This window comes from Homo sapiens (genome assembly GCF_000001405.40).
Source record: "Homo sapiens chromosome 15 unlocalized genomic scaffold, GRCh38.p14 Primary Assembly HSCHR15_RANDOM_CTG1".
In the NCBI taxonomy this organism is placed as follows: domain Eukaryota; kingdom Metazoa; phylum Chordata; class Mammalia; order Primates; family Hominidae; genus Homo; species Homo sapiens.
The window spans coordinates 370,695-391,475 of record NT_187382.1 but is presented as its reverse complement, the minus strand read 5'-3'; the positions used below and the strand labels follow the sequence as shown (position 1 = coordinate 391,475).

Genomic DNA, 20,781 nt, shown 5'->3' with positions numbered 1-20,781 from the left:
AGAGTAATGGACGGTAAATACACTCTTGCTCAGGCCTGTGGTTCCTTTGTACTTCCTCACATCTACAGCCTGGTCTCCCGTACAGCGGGGAAAGAAGTGACCCCCTCACCAGGTCAGCTCCTGAGCCTTGGGGGAACCCCCTCCGATCACTAGCACTGCACCATCATTTCTTTTGCTAGGTGTTCCAGGCTGCGGGGCTCCCTCAGGCAGAGGCCACCGCAGGGAGATAGGCCACACCTTTTCCAGGCTCCTCCTGCAGAGGGAGGCGCGCCCCGCTCCCACAGCAGCCCAGGAACTCATGCGGTTACCCCTCTCGGTGCTCTGGGAGTGTGGGTTTCTCTTCCCGCTCTAGTGTTGGACCTGGGGCGAGTTCGGGCTTTTTATTCCCTCCCCTGCTTGGGGGAGCAGGGAAGGGGACCTTGGCGGTGTCGGTGGCAGAGGGCTTGTCAGTTGTCTCTGGGAACTCCACCCCAGAGAAATTCAGAGCCGCTGCCAACCAGAATGATCAGCCCGGGATGGGACGTTTGTGCTGTGGGCGCAAGCCCAGGGCCCTCCCTGGTGGAGAGCAGAGGGATCGGGGGCTTGTTGGGGGGACTGTCTGACCTCCTCTCCGTAGTGCAGCTGTGGCATGCTGGATGTGCAAGCACAGCAAGCAGGCTCTTTGTTCCCTCCCTAGCCCTGGGGGTGGCAGCAGTGGCAGAGGGCCTGTCAGCTGCCTCTGGCAACTCCACCCAGAGCTACTGCTACTGCTAAGGTGAAGGATCCAGGGGTGGGGCGGCTGTGTTGTGGGCCAAAGCCGGCCGTGTCTGGTGAAGAGTAGCCGGGGTCAGGGGCTCGCAAGGAAGACAATCTGGCCTTCTCTCCCTAGGACAGCTGCAGTCAGGCTCTTTGTTCCCTACCTAGCCTGCGGGGAGCAAGGAAGGACCTTACACTCAGCTAGGGGTGGCACAGAGCCTGCCGGTTGTCTCTGGGAGCTCTACCCCAGAGAAACTTAGGGCCACCGCCAAATGAAAGAACGGGTGGGGGTGGGGCAGCTGTGCTGGGACCCCAGGCTCGGAGGCCCTGCCCAGTGAGGAGTAGCTGGGACAGGGACCCACGTGGAAAATAATCTGGCCACTTTTCCGTATGACAGCTGTTCGTATGCCTTGCTGAAGGTCTAGGATAGTTCCTGCGCTCTTCGATCCCTCCCCAGCCTGAGGGCGGCATGTGGGAGACCACAGTACCAGAAATCTCAGGCCTATTGGTTACCTCTGGGAGTTCCTTTCCAAAGAAATGGAGAGCCTGACTGGCCTGAGTGCTCAGGTGGGAGTGGGGTGGCTGCGTGGGCGACCCAGGCCAGTGGGCTTTGCCTGGCTTGATGAAGCAAGCGGGGCCTGCGGTCAGTCTGCTCCTCAGCACCGTGGATGCAGCCCCTATTCTAGGGGCATGCGAGAGAGCTGGCCTCCCTTGTTGGTGTGGCTATGGCAGCTGGCACCAAGGTGCTCAGGGCCCCACGGCTCATGGGGCTCCAGGTGACCCTAGCTGCAGCTCTGCCCAGACTCCAGTAACCTCTCTGTGTTGGTCTGGAAGCCCCTCGGGGTCACGGGAGATCTCCTGTGCCAGGATTGCAAAGGCCCATGGCAGAAGTGTGGGTCCCAGGAGGTTCTTATTCACCCTTTCCCTATGGTAGGGAGCCTCACCTGGCTCTATGCCAATCCTGGGTGGACTGCTTTCCTGCCTGGCCCCTTTCTGCTGTCCATCGATTGCAGTTGCTTCCTTGGTGAATCCTAACATGGCCTCATGGACGATCCATGTGAAGAGCTAGTGTTTACTCACCACCCTGTCTCCCTCTCCATGAGTGGCACATGATAGCTGCTTCTGGCACCTCACCCTATTCTGTACTTTTTTATTGATAATACATGAGCAACATTATCCTACATGCTAATCAAAATCAGTGGTTTTCATTTCTGTGGTTGATTTTTAAGGGTAAGCTTACTTTCATGCTTATAAGCCTTTTCGTTTTTTTCCTTTGTTCATTGCCCACATTTCCTTCTATGTACCTATTTCATATTCATTTAAGCAAATTATTTATGTATTAGATAAATTTTTATCGTTTATATCGATTTTTAGTAATTTTTATTTTAATTTTTATTCATGGATGCCCTCTCATACAATCTTGGAGTAGGGAAAAAATATTCAATTTACATGCAAACCTTATAATCATGCAGAAAATAATCTCCACATCTATATGCCATAGAAATATTTTCAGCGTTTTTCTGCCTTTTGCCCATATAAACTTTTTTCATTTTTACATATCAAAATATGTAGCAGATATCAAGATTTAATACATCTTTTTATTTTCATTTTCTTTGTCAAACTTCAATGGCCTTTCTCACCTCCAAGATTGCAAACTTTTTATCCTATATTTTACCACCATTTTTGTTTGCTTTCTGAAGAAGCTGTCAACACACAGACAGGTTTGTCAAAGACTTTTGCCACTACCATTACAGATTCTATCAAATATACTCATACAAAATTTAATTTAGAAAAAATAATTAGAGAGACAATAACATGAGAGGTGCTCTCTACAATTCTCTTCATGCCAGACCATGGCTGATTGATGTGTTCCCTGAGCCAAGAGCTGGGAAAGTGGCTTCTTGTCCTCTCAGTCTCCTGGTTATGGCAGGGATAGGTCACTTAGCAGGTTAGTTCTACAGTGTTTTTCTGGTAACAATTTCTATAATAGATGCCCAGCATAAATAATGGTCTTCTATACTTGAAAAATTTTATAAGTACCTAATTTCTCACATTAGACCCCACTATTAATACAGGAGTTATTAAGAAATTATTTTTAGGCAGCTAGAAAGGGTAAAAGAGTCCTCAGAAAGGCTTTTCCTTTTAATAAAAAAGCAGCCCCCAAACCATTTCTTTTCTAACAGAAAGCAGCCTGAAAAGCCATGCTGGAAGCATAGGTATGTAAATTACAGGCTTGGAGAAGTAAATGCAGGTGGCTAAGAGCCAGGTCCACTCAATATGACTGTTCCCGCTCACTTTCCTTTGTTGCCACATGTGCAGTTGTCATGGCACCAGCCAAGTAAAGCCACATGTGCAGGCATCATGGCGACAGCCAGGTAGAAGCCGCATTTGCAGAATAAAAGATTAGGGTGGGAGGGCCAGTCTTTTCATGGGTTGTGTGAATGACACACCTGGTCAAAGGAATCCCCTGGGCCCTATGCAAATCAGACACTACCTCCCTGAGCCTCCCAATATAACTGACTGCTTTCCCCACAAGTGGGGTTACTCCATTCAGAGTCCTTCTCCCTCTGTATGGGGAAGCTCTTCTCTTCCTTCTTGCCTAATAAACTTTCTGTTCCTTAACCCACTCCGTGTGTGAGTCTGTGTCATTAATCGGCACAGCACAAGACAACGAACTGCAGGTATTTCCCCAGACAACGAAGCTGCTTCACTATGTTGAAAATAACTGGAGTGATTTATGTAATCTATAATACAATCTGAAGTACTAAATATCTAATAATGTCTAATAATCATCGTGAAGCTCTGAAGAAAAAATAAGTGGAATAATTTCATGACATTTTACCATGAAACAAATTGGCTTCCTTTCTTATCTCACCACCAAATTTTGGGGGGGAAATATATATTTATTTATATATTGATTAAATATATAAAAATATATATTTATAAATATATAAAAATATATATTTATAAATATATAAAAATATATTACTTATTTTATATATATGTAAATATACATATATATAAAATATATATAAAAACATTAAAATATATATAATTTTAATATATTTATATATATAAAATACTATAGTCTTTTTCATAACATACTTGCAACATACATTTGGTTTTTGATATTTTACAGTTTATTAATCTCTGCCTAAAATCTTGCTGATGTTGCTCTAACCAGTAGAGGAAAGCATTGTAGATGAACTGCTCCTTTGCTTAAAACATTAAAATGGGTTCTTACCACAATTAAAATATGAAAAAATTCTTACCTCAGACTGAAAGACCCTTGCAGTCACATAAAACTTAACCCTTAAATTTCTCACACTTACTCATTATACTTCAACCACTCTGGGGTTTCCTTTATATTCTTTAAATATAATAAGTTTATTCTCTCATTATGCATAACTCTCCTCCATTGCCTACAATGGTACCTGGCAAATGGGAGGTACTCAGTGAAAAACAGGACTTGTTAAATGAATGATATGAATTCCAGCCAGAATTCCTCCTTCTCAGTTTCTTATTATAAAATCCACTTGACAGACTACATGTCGACTCAATAACCTCTTCATGGAAGTTTTCACTTCCTGGTTGCGAAGGGTATAAATCATAGGATTCATCAATGGAAAGATCACTGTGTGAAAGAGAGAAACCATCTTGTCAGCTGGTAAGGCCCTGAAAGGGCACATGTAGATGAAGATAGCAGGTCCAAACATAAGAAGTATAATAATGACACGAGTGGTGCACATGGACATGGCCTTGTTCTTCCCTTCAGAAGCTGCCCTACGAACATGGCAGAGGATGACTGCATAGGAAGCCAGAAGCCCCAGAAAGCACAGGAGTGTCATCAGGCCACTGTTGAAGACCATCAGAAGCTCCACCACAAACATGTCGGTGCAAGCCAGCTTGATGACCTGTCGGACATCACAGAAGAAGTTGTCCAGCTGGTTTGGGCCACAAAAAGGCAAGCGGAGGATGAGGACCACCTGGATAATGGAGTGGACAAAACCCCCAAGCCACAGAGCCAACATCATTGCATAGCAGGCTCTAGGGTTCATGACAGTTGAACAGTGCAGAGGCCGGCAGATGGCGATGTAGCGGTCAAAGGCCATCACAACAAGGAGTAATCCCTCCCCTCCTCCAAGGAAGTGCAAGAAAAAGAGCTGAGTGATGCAGCCTCTGTAGGAGATTACCTTCTTCTCAGAGAAGAAGTCCACCAACATCCTGGGAGCCACAATGAAGGAGTAGGATGCATCCAGGAAGGCCAAGTTGCCCAGAAAGAAATAGAGGGGGGCTGTGAGCCCAGGGTCTGACCTTATGGTGAAAATAATGAGAAAATTTCCAGGGAGGATGATAAGGTAGAAAATTAAGATCAGCACAAAGACCAAGAGCTGAATATCTTGAGACTGAGTCAGACCAAGGAGGATAAATTCTGTCACTACTGTGTTGTTTGCTATCTTCATTTCTTCTGCCTGTAGAATATCAATAAAAGAGTTTATTTTCAGGTGTTACATCTAGATTATAGTTCTTGAACTAAACACAAGGTATGCCACATTTATATTATTCTATCTATCTCAACAACCTAAGAAATCACTTCTACTGTTTATGCTTCCTCATTTCATGATAGCCAACACCCTGGTCCTGAAGCCACACTCTTTCTTCTGTTTCAGTCCTGTGCTTCTGTTTAAGTGTTCACTCATGTGAGACTTGGATGTTACTGCTCTGAATTTGTTCCTGATTTGTATGAGGCATATGAAAATTTTTCTGACTGAGAAAAAACTTAACCCCAGTTATTGAGGTCTTCATGTTTTGCTTTGAATGGAAGATGAGCTGGGATTGACAGCAAAGAAGAATGACAGAACTTTTCAAGGGGACAGAAATGTTCCGTTTTTAATTATAATGGTTATATGTATCTATTTTTGTCAAAATTTATTGAGTATTGAACTATACAGCAATTAGTACAATTTATTTTATATAAATGCTACCTTAGGAATGTTTATCTAAAAACTTTTATAAAGGCAACTGTACTTACCAGAAATAATTCCCTTTTCTCTATAGAACATCAACCAAATGAACTGGTCTAAATAAAAAGCTCTCAGTCACTCTGGAGAAAACAAGATCTGAGGCTTCTCTGTACAGTGGCTTCCAAATTGAGACTGTGCTCATGCTTGGGGATGTGCATGATAATTTATTGGTATGAAAGCAATAATAGGAGAATTTCTACACTTACATTATTGTATCCTATTGTTTGAAGTTTTATTTTTGAACATTTTACATTTATATAGAATCATGATGTAATTGGATATGAAATGCATAAAGAAGATACGTATGTTTTTGGTGCATGTTCAAAAAATGGTTTGTGGTTGAAATAAAAAAATTTAAAAGCTAAAGATCTTGAGCTAGAACAAAATACTACAATGTGATACAGAAAAATATTTCATATGCTTCTGTTACACAGCACATTTGTTTTAAAATAATGTGGACTATGAAGCGTAGAGGGAAAGAGGTTCATTAACTAACTGAATGAGGAGTCGGTGTGTAAGAAGAGAGGGAAACAAAAACAATAAAGTCCCGAATTAAGAAATCAAAGAAAATATTTATAATGGCACATCTATTTAAAACATCAAAAGATATGCTTTTCAAAATATATCTAATCCTAATATATTAATTAATAGCAGAGGTTTTCAGGTATGGTCAGAATTGGGAATTATGAAAGAAGTACCTAGGCCAGGCACTGTGGCCCACACCTGTAATCCCACCCTTTTTGGAGGCCAAAGCAGGTGGATCACTTGAGGCCAAGAGTTCGAGACCAGCCTGGCAAAACCCTGACTCTACTAAAAATATAAAAATTAGCTGGGCGTGGTGGCAGGAGCCTGTAGTCCCAGCTACTTCAGAGGCTGAAGCATGAGAGTCGCTTGAACCTGGGAGGTGGAGGTTGCAGTGAGTCCATATTGTACCACTGCACTCCAGCCTGGGTGACAGAGCAAGACTCTGTCTCAAACAAAAAAAAGTATCTTACATCACATGTATGTACATCACACAGACACAAATAAATACACGCAAACACACGTATCCTAACCAAAACAGAAGCATAAAATTTTACATATCATACCCTTCTTTTCTTTTTTTTTTTTTTTGGCACTTGGCCATTTATTGACCTTAATATTTATCAGTCTTTCTGTGCATATAAAACCTGCTAATAGAAAAGTCGGGAATCCCTCTCTGCTTACTCTTAAGTTGTGTACATCTTGCATGTTATTATGCAGTTGGTTATTTCATACTCTTTCAAAAATTGAGGATGTATTTGGGTCATAGGAGAAACTTTCAAGTATCTCTGAGATTGGGAGTTTCAGGTTCTTGCACTGTACCTTGCATTTTATTCCCTGTTATCCACTTCTGTTCTCCTACTGACTCTGTAACATCTGGAACCCTCTACCATCAAATATCTTTGATTCACTGTGTTCCCTTTGTGTGCTTCCCTCTAAGCTCTTTTGTTATATGGATAGTGCTCACATCATGCTCATTATGGATCCAGAAACCAAATATATATATTCATAAGGTGGACATTCCTCTAGGTAAAATGAAGTAAGTCCTAGCAAAATAAAAGCACAGAAATTCCTGCAAAGACAAGCTTGGTCTTGTCTAACTATATTAGAAGAACATAACAATGTTAGAAGGATCACTGTCAGTGGAAGCTGAAATAGAAATCTGAATGACTGCCACTCCCTCTATCCTATATTTCAATTTCAACAGAAACAAAATTTCATCTGTTCCTGACAATGCTGGAGCAGCACAGAAGAGGAAAGAGTGATGGGTGGGGGCACACACACATTCCAGATAAAGGCTGCGCTATGCACTGTTCACGTTTAGAGTCCAGGCTCTTGTTAGAAAGTTCATGGAGCAGGTATTTGGAGATTTGATTCCCATCCACAGGCACTAATTCACTCATTTTTCTTTATATTTCCTCATGCCTCCTTTTAAAATATTTATTTTATTATCTTCCCCTCCCATCTCGCTAAATATTTCTACACTTCATTTTTTAAGTTATACTTTTACTTAAGTTGGTTTCTCTTTCTCTATTTTATCTTCTCTTTCTCTCTCGTATTTGTTCTCTAATGATTCCCCTTGCTTTTCTCTTATCTCTTCTATTTTTTCTCCTTTGTTGTTTTTACTTCTCAATGTTCTTGCAGTTTCCAATATTTTTCCACTCTCTTCTTCTCTATTCATTTCTCCTTTATTAGATCTCATGTTTGCCTTCCCATTAATTCTGAGAAGCATCACTATTGTTTTCTTTTGAAACAGTAGTAAGGACAGCACATGAAGTTTCTTCACTCCAATTTTTGTAAGGGTTAAAAATACCTAACCCATCTTTCAGTACTAAATTACTTTCCTTGAATAGTATCCTACTTAAAATATACTGTGTAAATACTTTTAAATTATTTCCCATTACCTCAAATATTTTGTCTGTTTATAACTGATCTTAATAAAAGTGGCACTATTCACCTTTCTGCTTGAAAGAAATTTCTCATTAATCCACCCTACCAGCAAAAACACATTTTAGAAATGTTCCCAAAATAAGAATAAGAATGTGATGTCTATTAATATGTGCTATCTAGTTTGTAACCCATAACCTATATAATCACTAATTTTTTGTGTGTTCTGAGAAATGTGGATAAAGTTAGAGTATCATCAAATCATTAACTGATACCAATGTTTATAATGCCATGATTTCTAGGCAAAGTAATGGATGTCATTTAAAAAGCCCTCGTTTGGGCATCTATCTGGGTTTAAGTTCTTCATTGTGCAATTTTTTTAACCGTGAGATCTTGGGAAGGTCATCTTCTTTAGCCTGAGTTATTTTATCTCACTGTGTTGATTTATGAATATAATATGAGAATGATAGCAATAAGTAGCATATTGAAGTCTGACTAAACCAAAACTAAACAAGGAAAAAATGTAGATATTAAGAGGGGCTTTAGTTTCTAAGAAGTAAATATATAATATAGATCCTCTGTCCCTGCCTTTGAAATGAGTTGCTGGGGTAAAGGTAGCTATGTTAATGTAAGAAATTACTAGAAAAGAATTTATGAAGGCTTCATTTCAGCCAGCTGTCAAAGCCCCAGATTGGTATATGGTAAGACTCTTTGTAAAAGAACCTCTCATCCCAGCAGGTGTGGGAACTAGACAGAGCTAGTCTCCTGCAAAATCGTGAAGTTGGTGAAGATTTCTTCTGCAGCCTAGCATTTCTGCATTGGATATGACTTCTGTTCCCTCACGTCTTTCAGTTAATAGCTATAGGTTTAGGACCAAGTATAAACATTCCCAAGGCAATGTTAATAAAGGCTTTATATATTCCCAATAAATTAATTCTAAATATTAGGAGAAACTGGGGCTATATTATTAAGACCAGGTAAAAGGTGCTACTGTATTACTGAATTCAGATTAAACATATTAATCTATTTCTAGTTTGAAACCCATAACCTATATAATCACTATAATTCTGATCTTTGCATTTCAAGGCAGCAGATGTCCCACCTGAGGTGTTACAATATGTTTCCATTTCTTCCTTATGTTCCTTATAAATATGGAGAATGGAAAAACATTTACCTCTCTAGTAATCTAATGCTCCTGTCAAACAGCAGATATCACCTCCTTCTAATAGAAGGAACAATAACTAATTTTTCCTGACTTCATTGTTAAATATCTCTTCTCACAGAGGAATCTCTTATGCAACCAATTTGTGATGCAATGGAGAATGTACTTTGGGAATTTGAAGGCTAACAAAGCTGCAAACACTTTCAAAGGGAATTGTTAAAATGCCAACAAAATATAGTCAAAGAATGAGACTAGAAACATGTTATATATAAATAGTGAAGTATATATGATTTAAAAGTCACTATGTCACTTCTAAGTTTTAAAATCAACATTCTATCAGTGACACATATTACAGAATAGTCAGCATGTTTACTAGGTCCATGTGGGCAGAAAGCCAAAAGAGGTTATTTTATTTCTTACGTTACTTTTTTTTTTTAAAAAAGTGTATAATAGGAAATCATTGATAGATCAAGAAAAGAAGTAATGTGGTCAGGTAGGTAGTATGGTAAATTCAACATATTTCTGATGACAAAGAAATAGGCAAAGAAAAATAAATGATGTTCACAAAGACTCTTTGGCATAATCCTTCTTGGAGACGAGAACTGCATATTGAAGGACTAATTCCTCACAAAGAGATGTATTCTTAAATACACCCTATTGTGGTCTTGGCCTTTGTTGTTTTCATTTTAGGAATAAGTGTCTCCTATGTTCCACTAAAGCAAAGACAACTATTTTTTTAAGTAAATATTACTAGACAGAAGAAAAGTAATTAAGAATCACATAGTAGAACACAATATAATTAAATTTCAGTAGATTTATTTTTATTTTAAAAAGATTTTTTATTTTAAAAATTAATATACTAAACAGTTTTTCAACAAATATAATGCATAATCAATAATATTTTGTTCTAATTTATGTCCAATTCAGAAAATAATAAGTGGGAAAAATGGAACATGGGGAAAAGAGAAAAAGGGAGAAAGAGATACACAAAATCATAAAGGTAAAAAAACCGGGGGGGAGAAATGCAAGAACAGGAACAAATGCAAAGACAGTAATGGAATAATAGGAAATAAAAAGCCAGGCACAAAAATTCATATTTTGTAAAACTATATACACCAAATAAACTAAAAAGTGTAGTGTTTACTTTCTTAAAAGAAACAGAAAAGAAGTGATATAAGTAAAGAAACACATGGAAAAACATTCCCATTTTTGAGTATATTATAGTCTTTCTTGCTACCAAAGATTTTTTAAAATATGATTTTTTCATAATTGTAGACATAATTAGGGACTTTGCTTCCTAATGTTTTCCACAATACTTAAAGTGAAGATAGTCTAATGATCTAAATTAATCCTTAGAATGAAGGCTTGTTATTCCTGCTAGGAAAGATTTGTCTCCCTAGACTATCTTAGAAACTAAAACCATGTACCAGGCTGTATTGTAGTGTCTGCAATGCAGCACCGAACAAGACAGAAAATATCCCTGTTCCTGGGGATTTTACATCCTAAAGCATGGAAACAGACAACAAACAAACATACCAGAGAGAAAACAACTGATTGTAATGAGCACTATGATAAAAATATAAGAGAAAGCGGAAGAGACTACTATTCCAAGTGAGCTGGCCAGGGAGGGCCTTTCTGACAAGGTGGCAACATTTCAACTAAGATCTGAATGACAGAACTACACCGTCTCTGGGAAGATCTGAAGATAGACTTGTTGAAAGCTCATTAAGGGAGAGACTGGTGCATTGAGAAGCAGAAAGGAGGCTAGTGTGGCAAGACAGTAGTGAGCAAATGGAAAAAATTGTAAGGGAAGATAGAGAGGTAGAGCCGATATGGGCCAAATGGCAATCGGTCAACATACTATGTGTGAGATGTAACAGGCAGAGGAGTGTTCCTACCTGATTTACATGTTTAAAATGTTGTGCCAGGTACTAAGTGAAAAACGGGCTATAAAATGCAAGAAGTGGAGGCAAGGGGAACAGTAGGGAGCATTTGAAGAACTATTAATATAAATAAGAGATGTTGGTAGGTTAGGATAAGAGGTAAAAAAGAAGACAGAAGAATTTATACCAAAGATAAACTTTGGAGAGATAATCAATGGGACTTATTGAAGGACTGCATATGAGAGGTATGGAAGCAAGAATAACTCAGAATTTTTAATGGCATTACCATAAGGTTGGAAATTAGGCAGTGTACTTTAAATATACTTGACTTAAAAAATGTATTTAATTTTTGAATAGGTAATATATTTACATTTTTAAATAAAAAAATAATTCATACAGTGAGAAATTTCCTTCTTATATCTGTCCCCTATATGTCCATTTCACCCCATACCTCAAAACTGGAAGCTAATATTAATTTTTGTATCCTTCAAGAAATTTATCTGTATTTACAAGCAAGCATGAAAATAAATTCTTGGTTGTATTTCTTAGAATACAATGTATATACATTAAAATACACACATTTAAGTGTTCAACGTAGTAACTTGTGTTAAATATATGCACTTTAGAAACTAGTATTCTAAACAAGATAAAGAATATTTCCGTCACTCCAGAAAGGTTTCTTGTGATCTTTGCCATCCACCCCCACCATCTAACATCATAATGAGCTTTCATCTTTTAATTCCTAATAGCATAGATTAGTTTTACCTTTTCTTGGATTTTATAAAAACAGAAGCATATGACATGTGTTATTTTGTATCTGGCTTTTAAACTCAGCATTACGATTTAGAGATTCATGCGTATTGTTGCATTTTCTGTAGTTGTTTCTTTTTACTGCGGACTAATGTTTCATTATATACTTAACCCTAAGTTTGTTTATTATCATTTTATCCTTTTATGGACATTTGGGTTGTTTCAAATCTTAGGCCACCAATAAGGTTTTCATTAGCATGCGAATTTAAATCATTTCATAGACATGTCTTAGCTAAACACGAATGGGATTATCAGGTCATAAGGTAGCTGTTTGTTTACATCTACCTGAAATTACCTGAAGTTTCTATTAAGTTTTTCAGAGTGGTTAGCCATTGTAAATTCCCAACATCAATGTATGAGAGTTCAAGTTACTCCAACAATTAATTCACCAACATTTGGTGTTGTGTTTTACTTATGCCATTATATTTTCTGCATTTCTAATGCTTTGATGTCTTGTGCCTTCCTAACACTGGAGGAACTATCCCTCTTATGGCTAGCCAATTCCTAGAGATGGTAAAAGCCTCACTTGCAACCAATCTAGAAACCACACTCCAGCCACTTCTTTTATCAGGCACCTATAGCGCTATTACACTCCAGGCCACTATTTGCCTTCCCTAATCACCCCAGGGCCAAGTGCCAGACACTTAGAGACAGCCCCTATCCTCCAGAGCCCACTGGAATTATTCAATCTAGCCAATCCTAAACCTGCTTATCCTGCCCCATCCATTTATTTCCAGAGAAACCATGATAAAGGCTCTTACCCACATTTTTCTCATTTCCCCACTCACCTAACCAACCTCTTATTTCTAGGGATTTGTGAGTCTAAAAACTTCTTCCTTCATGACAGTCATTTCCATGACAGTGTGTCTTACCATTCCAGATTAAAATAAATACCGGGCACCTTTAAAACAGTGCAGCAGACAAGAACTACATCTTGATGGCAGCTACATTGTTTTTGTCAGTAGTTGCCACAGGCTCCCAACATAAAATTGTGGAGCTCGGAAAGCTGAGTCCTCCCAGCGCTGCTGCATAGTCTAGAGTGTCAAGTGCCTGGGACTGAGCACCTGGAGGCACTCAATATATTTCTTCATGTTGGTAGAGCATCCGGAGTCCAGGAGAGAGCACGTGAGGGTGAGGATGTATTGGTAATTGGCTATATCAGTTTCTAGAAAGATTCGTCCGAAGGGGATGAGAACTGACTGCCTTCCTAGTGCCATGGATGAATCTGGCCCACTGACCAGGCAGCACTAACAAGCAATGGGGAAACTGAGTCATTTTTATGGACGTGTCTAGTCTCCAGTATGTTATATGTTCCTGGGGCACTTGATAAACCCCTTCCTCTTTTCCTTCTCTGCTATTTTGTTCTGTTCCTCAGAGTAGTGGGAGAGCGCTCTGCCTGAACACTTGATCGTGTGTTGTGGACCATTCCCTGCTGAGTAATGACGTGCATCTTTTCGTGAACTTGCTGATCACTTCTGTATCTTCTTTTCTGGAGTGTCTGTTCAAATTTTTTGCTGATTTTTCTTTACTTGAAGACAGAGAGAAACAGGGAGATTAAGAGAGACCAAATTTTCCTCCCAGTGTATGATTTCCTTAATAATTTGATGATAGTGTATCTTGACGAGCAGTAATTTTTAATTTTTTGAGGTTCATTTGATCACTTTTTATTATTACACCTGCTTTTGTGCTGCTTAAGATATCATTGCTTATTCCAATTGTGTAAGCAAATATATTATTCTGTGTTTTCTTCTAGATACTTTATATTTCTAGTTACTACATTTAGGAGTATAATCCAGCTCTGAAGATGCTCTTATTTGATTATATTTTCACTGAGATAAAAACTCTTTTCTCTTGTCATAATATAACTCTTCACTGGTTTACTTTTTTGTTGTTAAAGAAAAGAGATCAGCCGGGTCCCGTGGCTCATGCCTGTCCCAGCACTTTGGGAGGCCGAGGCAGGTGGATCATTTGAGGCCGGGAGTTCAAAACCATCCTGGCCAACATAGCAAAACCCCTTCTGTACTAAATATACAAAAATTACTCGAGCATGGTGGCATGGACCTGTAATCCCAGCTACTCAAGAAGCTGAAGCAGGAGAACTGCTTGAACCCGGGAGGCGAAGACTTTAGTGAACCGAGATCGAGCCACTGCCCTGGAGCCTGGGACACAGAGTGAGACTCTGCTTAAAAAAAAAAAAAAAAGGAAAAAAAAAGGAAAGAAGGAAGGAAGGAAACCAGTGAGATATTATCCTGACTGCCTTTCCCTTGAAGACGATCTCCGTTTTCAACGTCTGCTTAGTTGTCTTTATAGTTTAATAAGCCTAATACTAGATTAAATACAGTAGCCCCCTCTTACCCAGTGTTGCTTTCTGTAGTTTCTGTTGTCCATGGTCAACTTCAGTCCAAAAAATGTTAAATGGAACATTCCAGCAGCAAACAATTCATAAGCTTTAAATTATGCCCCATTCTAAGTAGCAGGATGAAATCTCAAGCTGTCCTTCTCCATCCTTCCAGGGACATGAGTCATCCCTTTGTCCAGTGTATCCATGTTATACATGCCACCTGCACGTTATCACTTAGTAGCCAACTTGGTTATCAGTTAGACACAGCATCACAGTGCTTGTGTTCAAGTAATCCTTATTCTATTTAATAATGGCCCCAAAGTGCAAGAGTAGTAATGTTGGCATATTGTTGTAATTGTTCTATTCTATTATTGGTTGTTATAAATCTGTTACTGTGTCTAATTTATGAATTAAACTTTATCATAGGCATATATGTATAAGAAAAACATGGTATATATAGGATTTGGTACTATCCATGGTTTCAGGCATCCACAGGTGTCTTGGAACATATCTCCTATGGATAAAAGAGGACTACTGTGTGTATATATATATATATATATATATATATATATATATATATATGTGTGTGTGTGTGTGTGTGTGTATATATATGTATATATATGTGTGTGTGTGTGTGTGTGTCAGAAACCCAGCCTTTTGTCCTAGTCACATGTTTGACTGTAATTTGTTCTCTGATAATTTCATCAAAGAGGTCTTAAAAACAACATTCACAGATTTTTGTTGCATATTTAAAACTTTGTGGCCTGCTTATTTAAATGCCAGTTTTGTGGGATATAAAATCTGAGGGTTATACTTATTTATGTAAGCATGTTGTAGCTTGTCTTCACCTGGACCTCTATTTAATGGTAATTATATTTTGGAACAATGCATGATAGGCCAACTGGTCTGCTTCCAATGGAGTTGGAGGGGTGAGACTTTATAAACTTTGTTAAAGAAAATCCCTGAGAAAAGAGATTGCCAGTGATACTTGTCTTGTTCTTTATATATTCATATGTTTTTAACTTTTAATGAATATATATTATTTTAGTAATTAAAAAAACAGAAGAACTTTAATTTTGTTTGAGCAATAAAGCTCTCTTTTAACCAGATATAATAATAAAGTTCTGGTTAATATTGAGATTAGCAAAAAGCCAGAAGATGAATGGGACTTGGGTTCTAAAGTCTCACACAAGTCAGTGTATAATTGAAAGTATAATCACAATACTGAGCTAAAGATAATATACTCAACCGAGATATTGCTGATTTTAAACATAGTAGCTCAGCAGCAGTTTTGAAAGAAAGAGGAGTAGGAGAGACTGAAAGAAAAAAAAAGAGATTAAAAGACATTTAAAAGTAACTGAAAGAAAATATAGGAGTTATATAGGGAAAAGGAGTCCTGAATCATATTTTGTATTTGACTGCTGAGGATCCTGAGCTATTTGGAAACAATATTCAATGAGACAAGATTGCATATGAGGTTAACACCTATTTCTTCTACACTAACCTGCCTTATCCCTGCCCATTATTTAAGTCAGAGTTTCTCAACCTGATGGAGTTCTTTATTCTTGGCACTATTGACATTTTGGGCCAGATAATCCATGTGGGAGTCAGGGGCTGGGGGCTGTCCTGTGCATTGTAAGATGTCTAAACAGTACAAGATGCCAATATATGTCCTCAGTTGTGACCACCAAAAATGTCTCTGGGCACTTCCAAATGTCCTCCAAGGGGTGAAATTGCTCTCAGTCCTTATTCCAATTATGGCCTCCATGAATCAGGCTCAGTTATTACTTACTAGAGTTTGCCAAAAGTTCCCCTTTTCTTCATTGATATTAGTTTCTAATTTCAGATAATATTCTTAAGTAAGCAATTAGTTATCACACTATTTTTATGCCTTTTTCCTTTGTATTACTAGCTTCAGTATTTTCAGTGAATATCTTTCTATATAGTACAGTGTGCTGGTGTTTGAAGAGCATATCAAATCAGTGGTCCCTTTCCCAAGAGCATCAGCCCTAGTTTGATGAAAGATAAGTGACAAAATGAATAGAAGTCTGGCTAGACCAAATATAGAGAAATGACAGTAAGATGATAAAAGATTTAGAAACGTAACTCATCATTTTATCATATTATATATATATATCTTTTGTACTCTATATTTTTTCATGCTGTGTTACAAAATGTTAGAGAAGTCTACTGCTTTATTCACTTCCAGGTGATGAGAAGTCAAGTCAAAAATCAGGACTTATAACGTCAATCTGTGCCTTTGGGTTCCTAGAAGAGAAGCAACATAGCATTGAAGATCGAAGAAGGTCACCATAAGGAAAAATTCCCAAAGCAAAAAACAAGCTTTGTGTACCACCATTCCATCCTGTGCATCTGAGATACACTGGGTCTGGCACAAATTACCTCCTCAATTAATAAATAATATCTCTGTAAATAAATAGTAACTCTAGGAATAGTTATACCATTTGTTTCTATATATTCATTCCCAATGTTGACAAGGATCTAATTCACTTAAAATTTAGTCCATATTACATTATCAAATTTAAAAAAGAAGACTAAAGATTAATATACCCAATGCATTCTTGCCCTTCAATGAAAAGATTCCCTAGTTTTGAAATTAAAAACTAATAAATTTAAGTAAAAAACATAACCTATAAAATCAAATGTTCTAATCTACCTCTTACATTCTGAAGCTTGGAGAGTGAGTTTTTAGTGCTTGAGAATAGGAAATCAGTCCCTAATAATTCTCTAAGGGATCATGGGAACCAATACGTCTAGGTCTGTCAATGGGAAAGAACTCTGAATTAAGCACTAACGAAAACAGCACTCTACCAATTTAAGTTTAACATGAGAGGCAGAATTAGCAATTATGGAAAACATACAAAAGTGGCAAAGGAGATGATAGTTTAGAAAAAAATTACACGGCTAGATGTCTACCAATCCCAGTCAACCTAGAAGCTTTCTCCCCAAGGCTGCTTTCACTCTGAAGGATGTAAGTAGGGACTGGCTACAAAAATTGCTAGTTGCCTGGAGGCTTCATCTGGAATGACATGAATCTCATGTATCAGCCAAATTATACTCTGCTTTGAATTCATAAAAATTGTTTTCATAATGTGATAAAATTTTGAGTTCTGTCTCCAAACTGTTGAATAGACACCACCTGAAATATAAACTGAAATACCTTTATAAGGTATTTCAGTTTATAAGTTGATGGAAAATCCTCATTTTCCATCAACTCTGGAAATAAGAGGAGATAAAGGACAAATAATCTGTTTTTCCAGACCCAGCAAGATGTTGACCAGATACCATTCCACTGAGCCAACACTGAAACATGACAAAAATATTTATTTGCTAACTTGAAGCTAGCTGCATCCATATGCTTGCCATTTACTTCATATTTGTAATGGACACGTCTCCATGTCTTATTTATTTTTCTCAACATGTTCCCGTCAAAGCCAGAGCCTCTGCAGAGTACTCAATAAACAATTAGTTAAAATGTACTTTAGCAGATTATTATATCTCAAATTCTAATAATGATCTGTTGGGAATTTCAGGGTAGGTGTGAGTAAATTTATTTTCATCTTAATGCCTCTATTTTTTCAATATAAAGAGGAATGAATAGAGAAAAATTATAGTAAAATTTTAATAACACAAATGAAAGGAGGAAGTCAATGCAGCATTATTACTGCAAATACTTCCTGCTTTAGGACAATGATCCTCAGGGGAACTATAAAATGTATAATTTATCTTTCACTTCTCTTTACACAAAATATATTTGGTGACCAACTTCCTCATGGCTGCCTTTACTTCCTTGTTTCTCAATGTGTAAATAATGGGATTACGTAAAGGGAATATTAAAGTATTGAACACAGACACCACTTTATCTAGGGAAAACGAGTCAAATGGGCGAGCATAAATGTAGATGGATGGCCCAAACATTAGCACCACAATGGTAATGTGGGAATAGCAGGTGGACATGGCCCTGTTGGTATTCTCACCTGAGCCTGAAAGTTTCTTGAGCAAGGCCAGAAGGAAGGCATAGGACATTAACAGAGCAATCAAACACACCACAGAGATCAGACCACTACTACAGATCATCACTAACTCCTCTGGGAAGGTGTTGGCACAGGCAATCCGGACAACCTGTGTGATGTCACAGAAGTAACTGTCTAACTCATTGGGCCCACAGAAAGGAAGTCGAACAATGAGAGCCACCTGTATGATAGAATGAATGAAGCCCCCCCTCCAGGAGAGAGCCACCAGGATACAGCAGAGACGTTGATTCATGATGGTAGCATAGTGGAGGGGTCGGCAGATAGCAGTGTAGAGGTCAAAGGCCATCACTGTGAGCAAGAACATCTCCGAAGCCCCAGCAAAGTGTAAGAAGAAGAGCTGTGCAATGCATCCATCAAAAGAAATTATCTTCCTCTCCACAAAGAAGTCTATGAGCATTTCAGGGGCTGTAATGGAAGAGTACCAAATATCAAGGAAGGCCAGATTAGCCAACAGGAAATACATAGGAGAGGTCAGATGAGGGTCTAGACTGATGGTGCAAATGATAAGGATATTTCCTGGTAGGATGAACAAATAGAAGGATAGAAATATAACAAATAGGACTAGTTGGACCTCTGGAGTCTGGGATAGGCCAGTGAGAACAAATTCTGTCACCTTGGTGTAATTTGCAGTTTCCATTTCTTCAATTTACTCTTTTCATAATATAGCTATGAAAATTAAGAAACTATAATTAGTAGACATAGCATTTACCTAGAGTTATATCACTGCTTTCAAAATTGTCATACGTTCCCTGTCACTAACAGATTACACGAGGATACATTTGGTTGCCCATTTTATATCTGATAAACCAAGAGGGAGAGAGTATGTGATGAAGTTATAAATTGGAAACATTAAAACTATATGAAGTGTGGCATATATTTGAAACTCAAATCTCAGCTTGTTAATGTTAAAAACTTACTTTTTCTGAAATTTGGCAATGCACTACTTCTTCCCCCAAACATCTACATTAGTAAGCAATATGTGAAGCTACTTCTGAGTGTAGCCAAATTTTAGACTGGCAATCAGAGATGTGGCCTCTTTTTTCTATATCTTTTTTTTTGTTGGGAAATCTTGCCAACCTGGAAACTTAGGCTTGCATTCTAATAGCACACACACAGATCTAGCAGTACTTTAGTTGTGATACAGAAAAGAGATCCCAAGGCTTCATAAGTAGTGAAGGGACATATTTTTCCATAACTGTAACCAAAACCTGTACAGCTTAATCCTTGGTAACAGGTAACCAGCCACAACATACAGCTATGCAAGGCCCTATATAAAAAATTCTTCTAGCTGTGACCAGATTCATCAATACCTGATACTACATTGAGTATAAAATTTGCTCACCACAGCAGGAACGTAAGTAGGTGTACTGATCTGAGAAATGAGTATGCTTGCTACCCAATTTGATTCTGAGCTGATCTGCTCTGCTGTTTCAAGGTGACAATGGGAATAATATTATTTTTAAAATTTTGCTTACTGCCCTGTATTGAATCTGACACCACTAAGTAGCACAAAACTTGTCAAATAAAAATGAAATAACAGTTCACATTACCAAATATGCTTTTCTTTAAGTAAGGTTAAAAACTGCCACACCAAAGTAAGTTTTGTTGTAACCAACAGCAAATACAAGAGAGTTGTTTCTTTTCTGTTGATGTGATATTTTATGATATTGCCTCTCCTATTACTTAAAAAAATTAAATATGAAAAGGAATTTTTAAAAAGTTAAGGTTCTGTAAAACCAAATAGATGTGGCTGTGTCCAAACACTTATGGGCACTACGTATACTACTGAGAAAAGAAATTAAATGCGCCATTTTTGGAACCTACTGACTCAATTTATACATAATTTTAACAAACATAGATAAATGACTTTCAATATCTTATAGAAGCATTGTATTTTGAAAAAGGGATGGCTTACTACAAGCAGACACACACACATAAAACCAGTGTTTTCCAGGAATCTGGTAGCAAGCGGAAGAAAGGTAAAAATACTCAGAAATTGAATAGTGTGGGACTATTTAGAAAAGGGATCAATTTCCCCTTGTCCATAAATTGCCCAGTGTGGACCTCAGTGAGTTAATGAAGCATATTTAATAAGATTGAAAAATTTAAAATTTGGTTTAGGAAGATTTTAATCAAAAGAAAGATAATAAGGTTATCCAGAATGAAATATTTCCTAACATTCCAAGAAACAATGATCTTATTGTACTTACCTGGAGGAGGCAGCTCATAGCCCTCATAACTAATAACACAACATTGTGTTATTAGTTATGAGGGCTATGAGCTAGTTATATACTAACTCATTTACATTCACTGATAAGTCAACTATGAGGTTCCAACAATCAAATAAATTTCTAACAAAAGC

The 20,781-nt window shown here is 37.9% G+C and overlaps 1 protein-coding gene and 1 pseudogene across 1 annotated transcript; both read right to left on the bottom strand.

Annotated features, from left to right (window-relative positions):
- Window positions 1-20,781, bottom strand: part of LOC105379529 (olfactory receptor 4N2-like) — a 67,679-nt pseudogene that overhangs the window by 27,757 nt on the left and 19,141 nt on the right.
- LOC102723532 (olfactory receptor 4N4-like) lies at window positions 4,148-5,207 on the bottom strand. Its single transcript, NM_001395471.1, has one exon. It carries the CDS (start codon window positions 5,196-5,198, stop codon window positions 4,248-4,250), a length of 951 nt encoding a protein of 316 aa, NP_001382400.1. The 5' UTR covers window positions 5,199-5,207; the 3' UTR covers window positions 4,148-4,247.

Excerpts from the sequence above, each read along its gene's own strand:
- LOC102723532 (NM_001395471.1), bottom strand. The coding sequence starts at position 5,198 with ATGAAGATAGCAAACAACACAGTAGTGACAGAATTTATCCTCCTTGGT.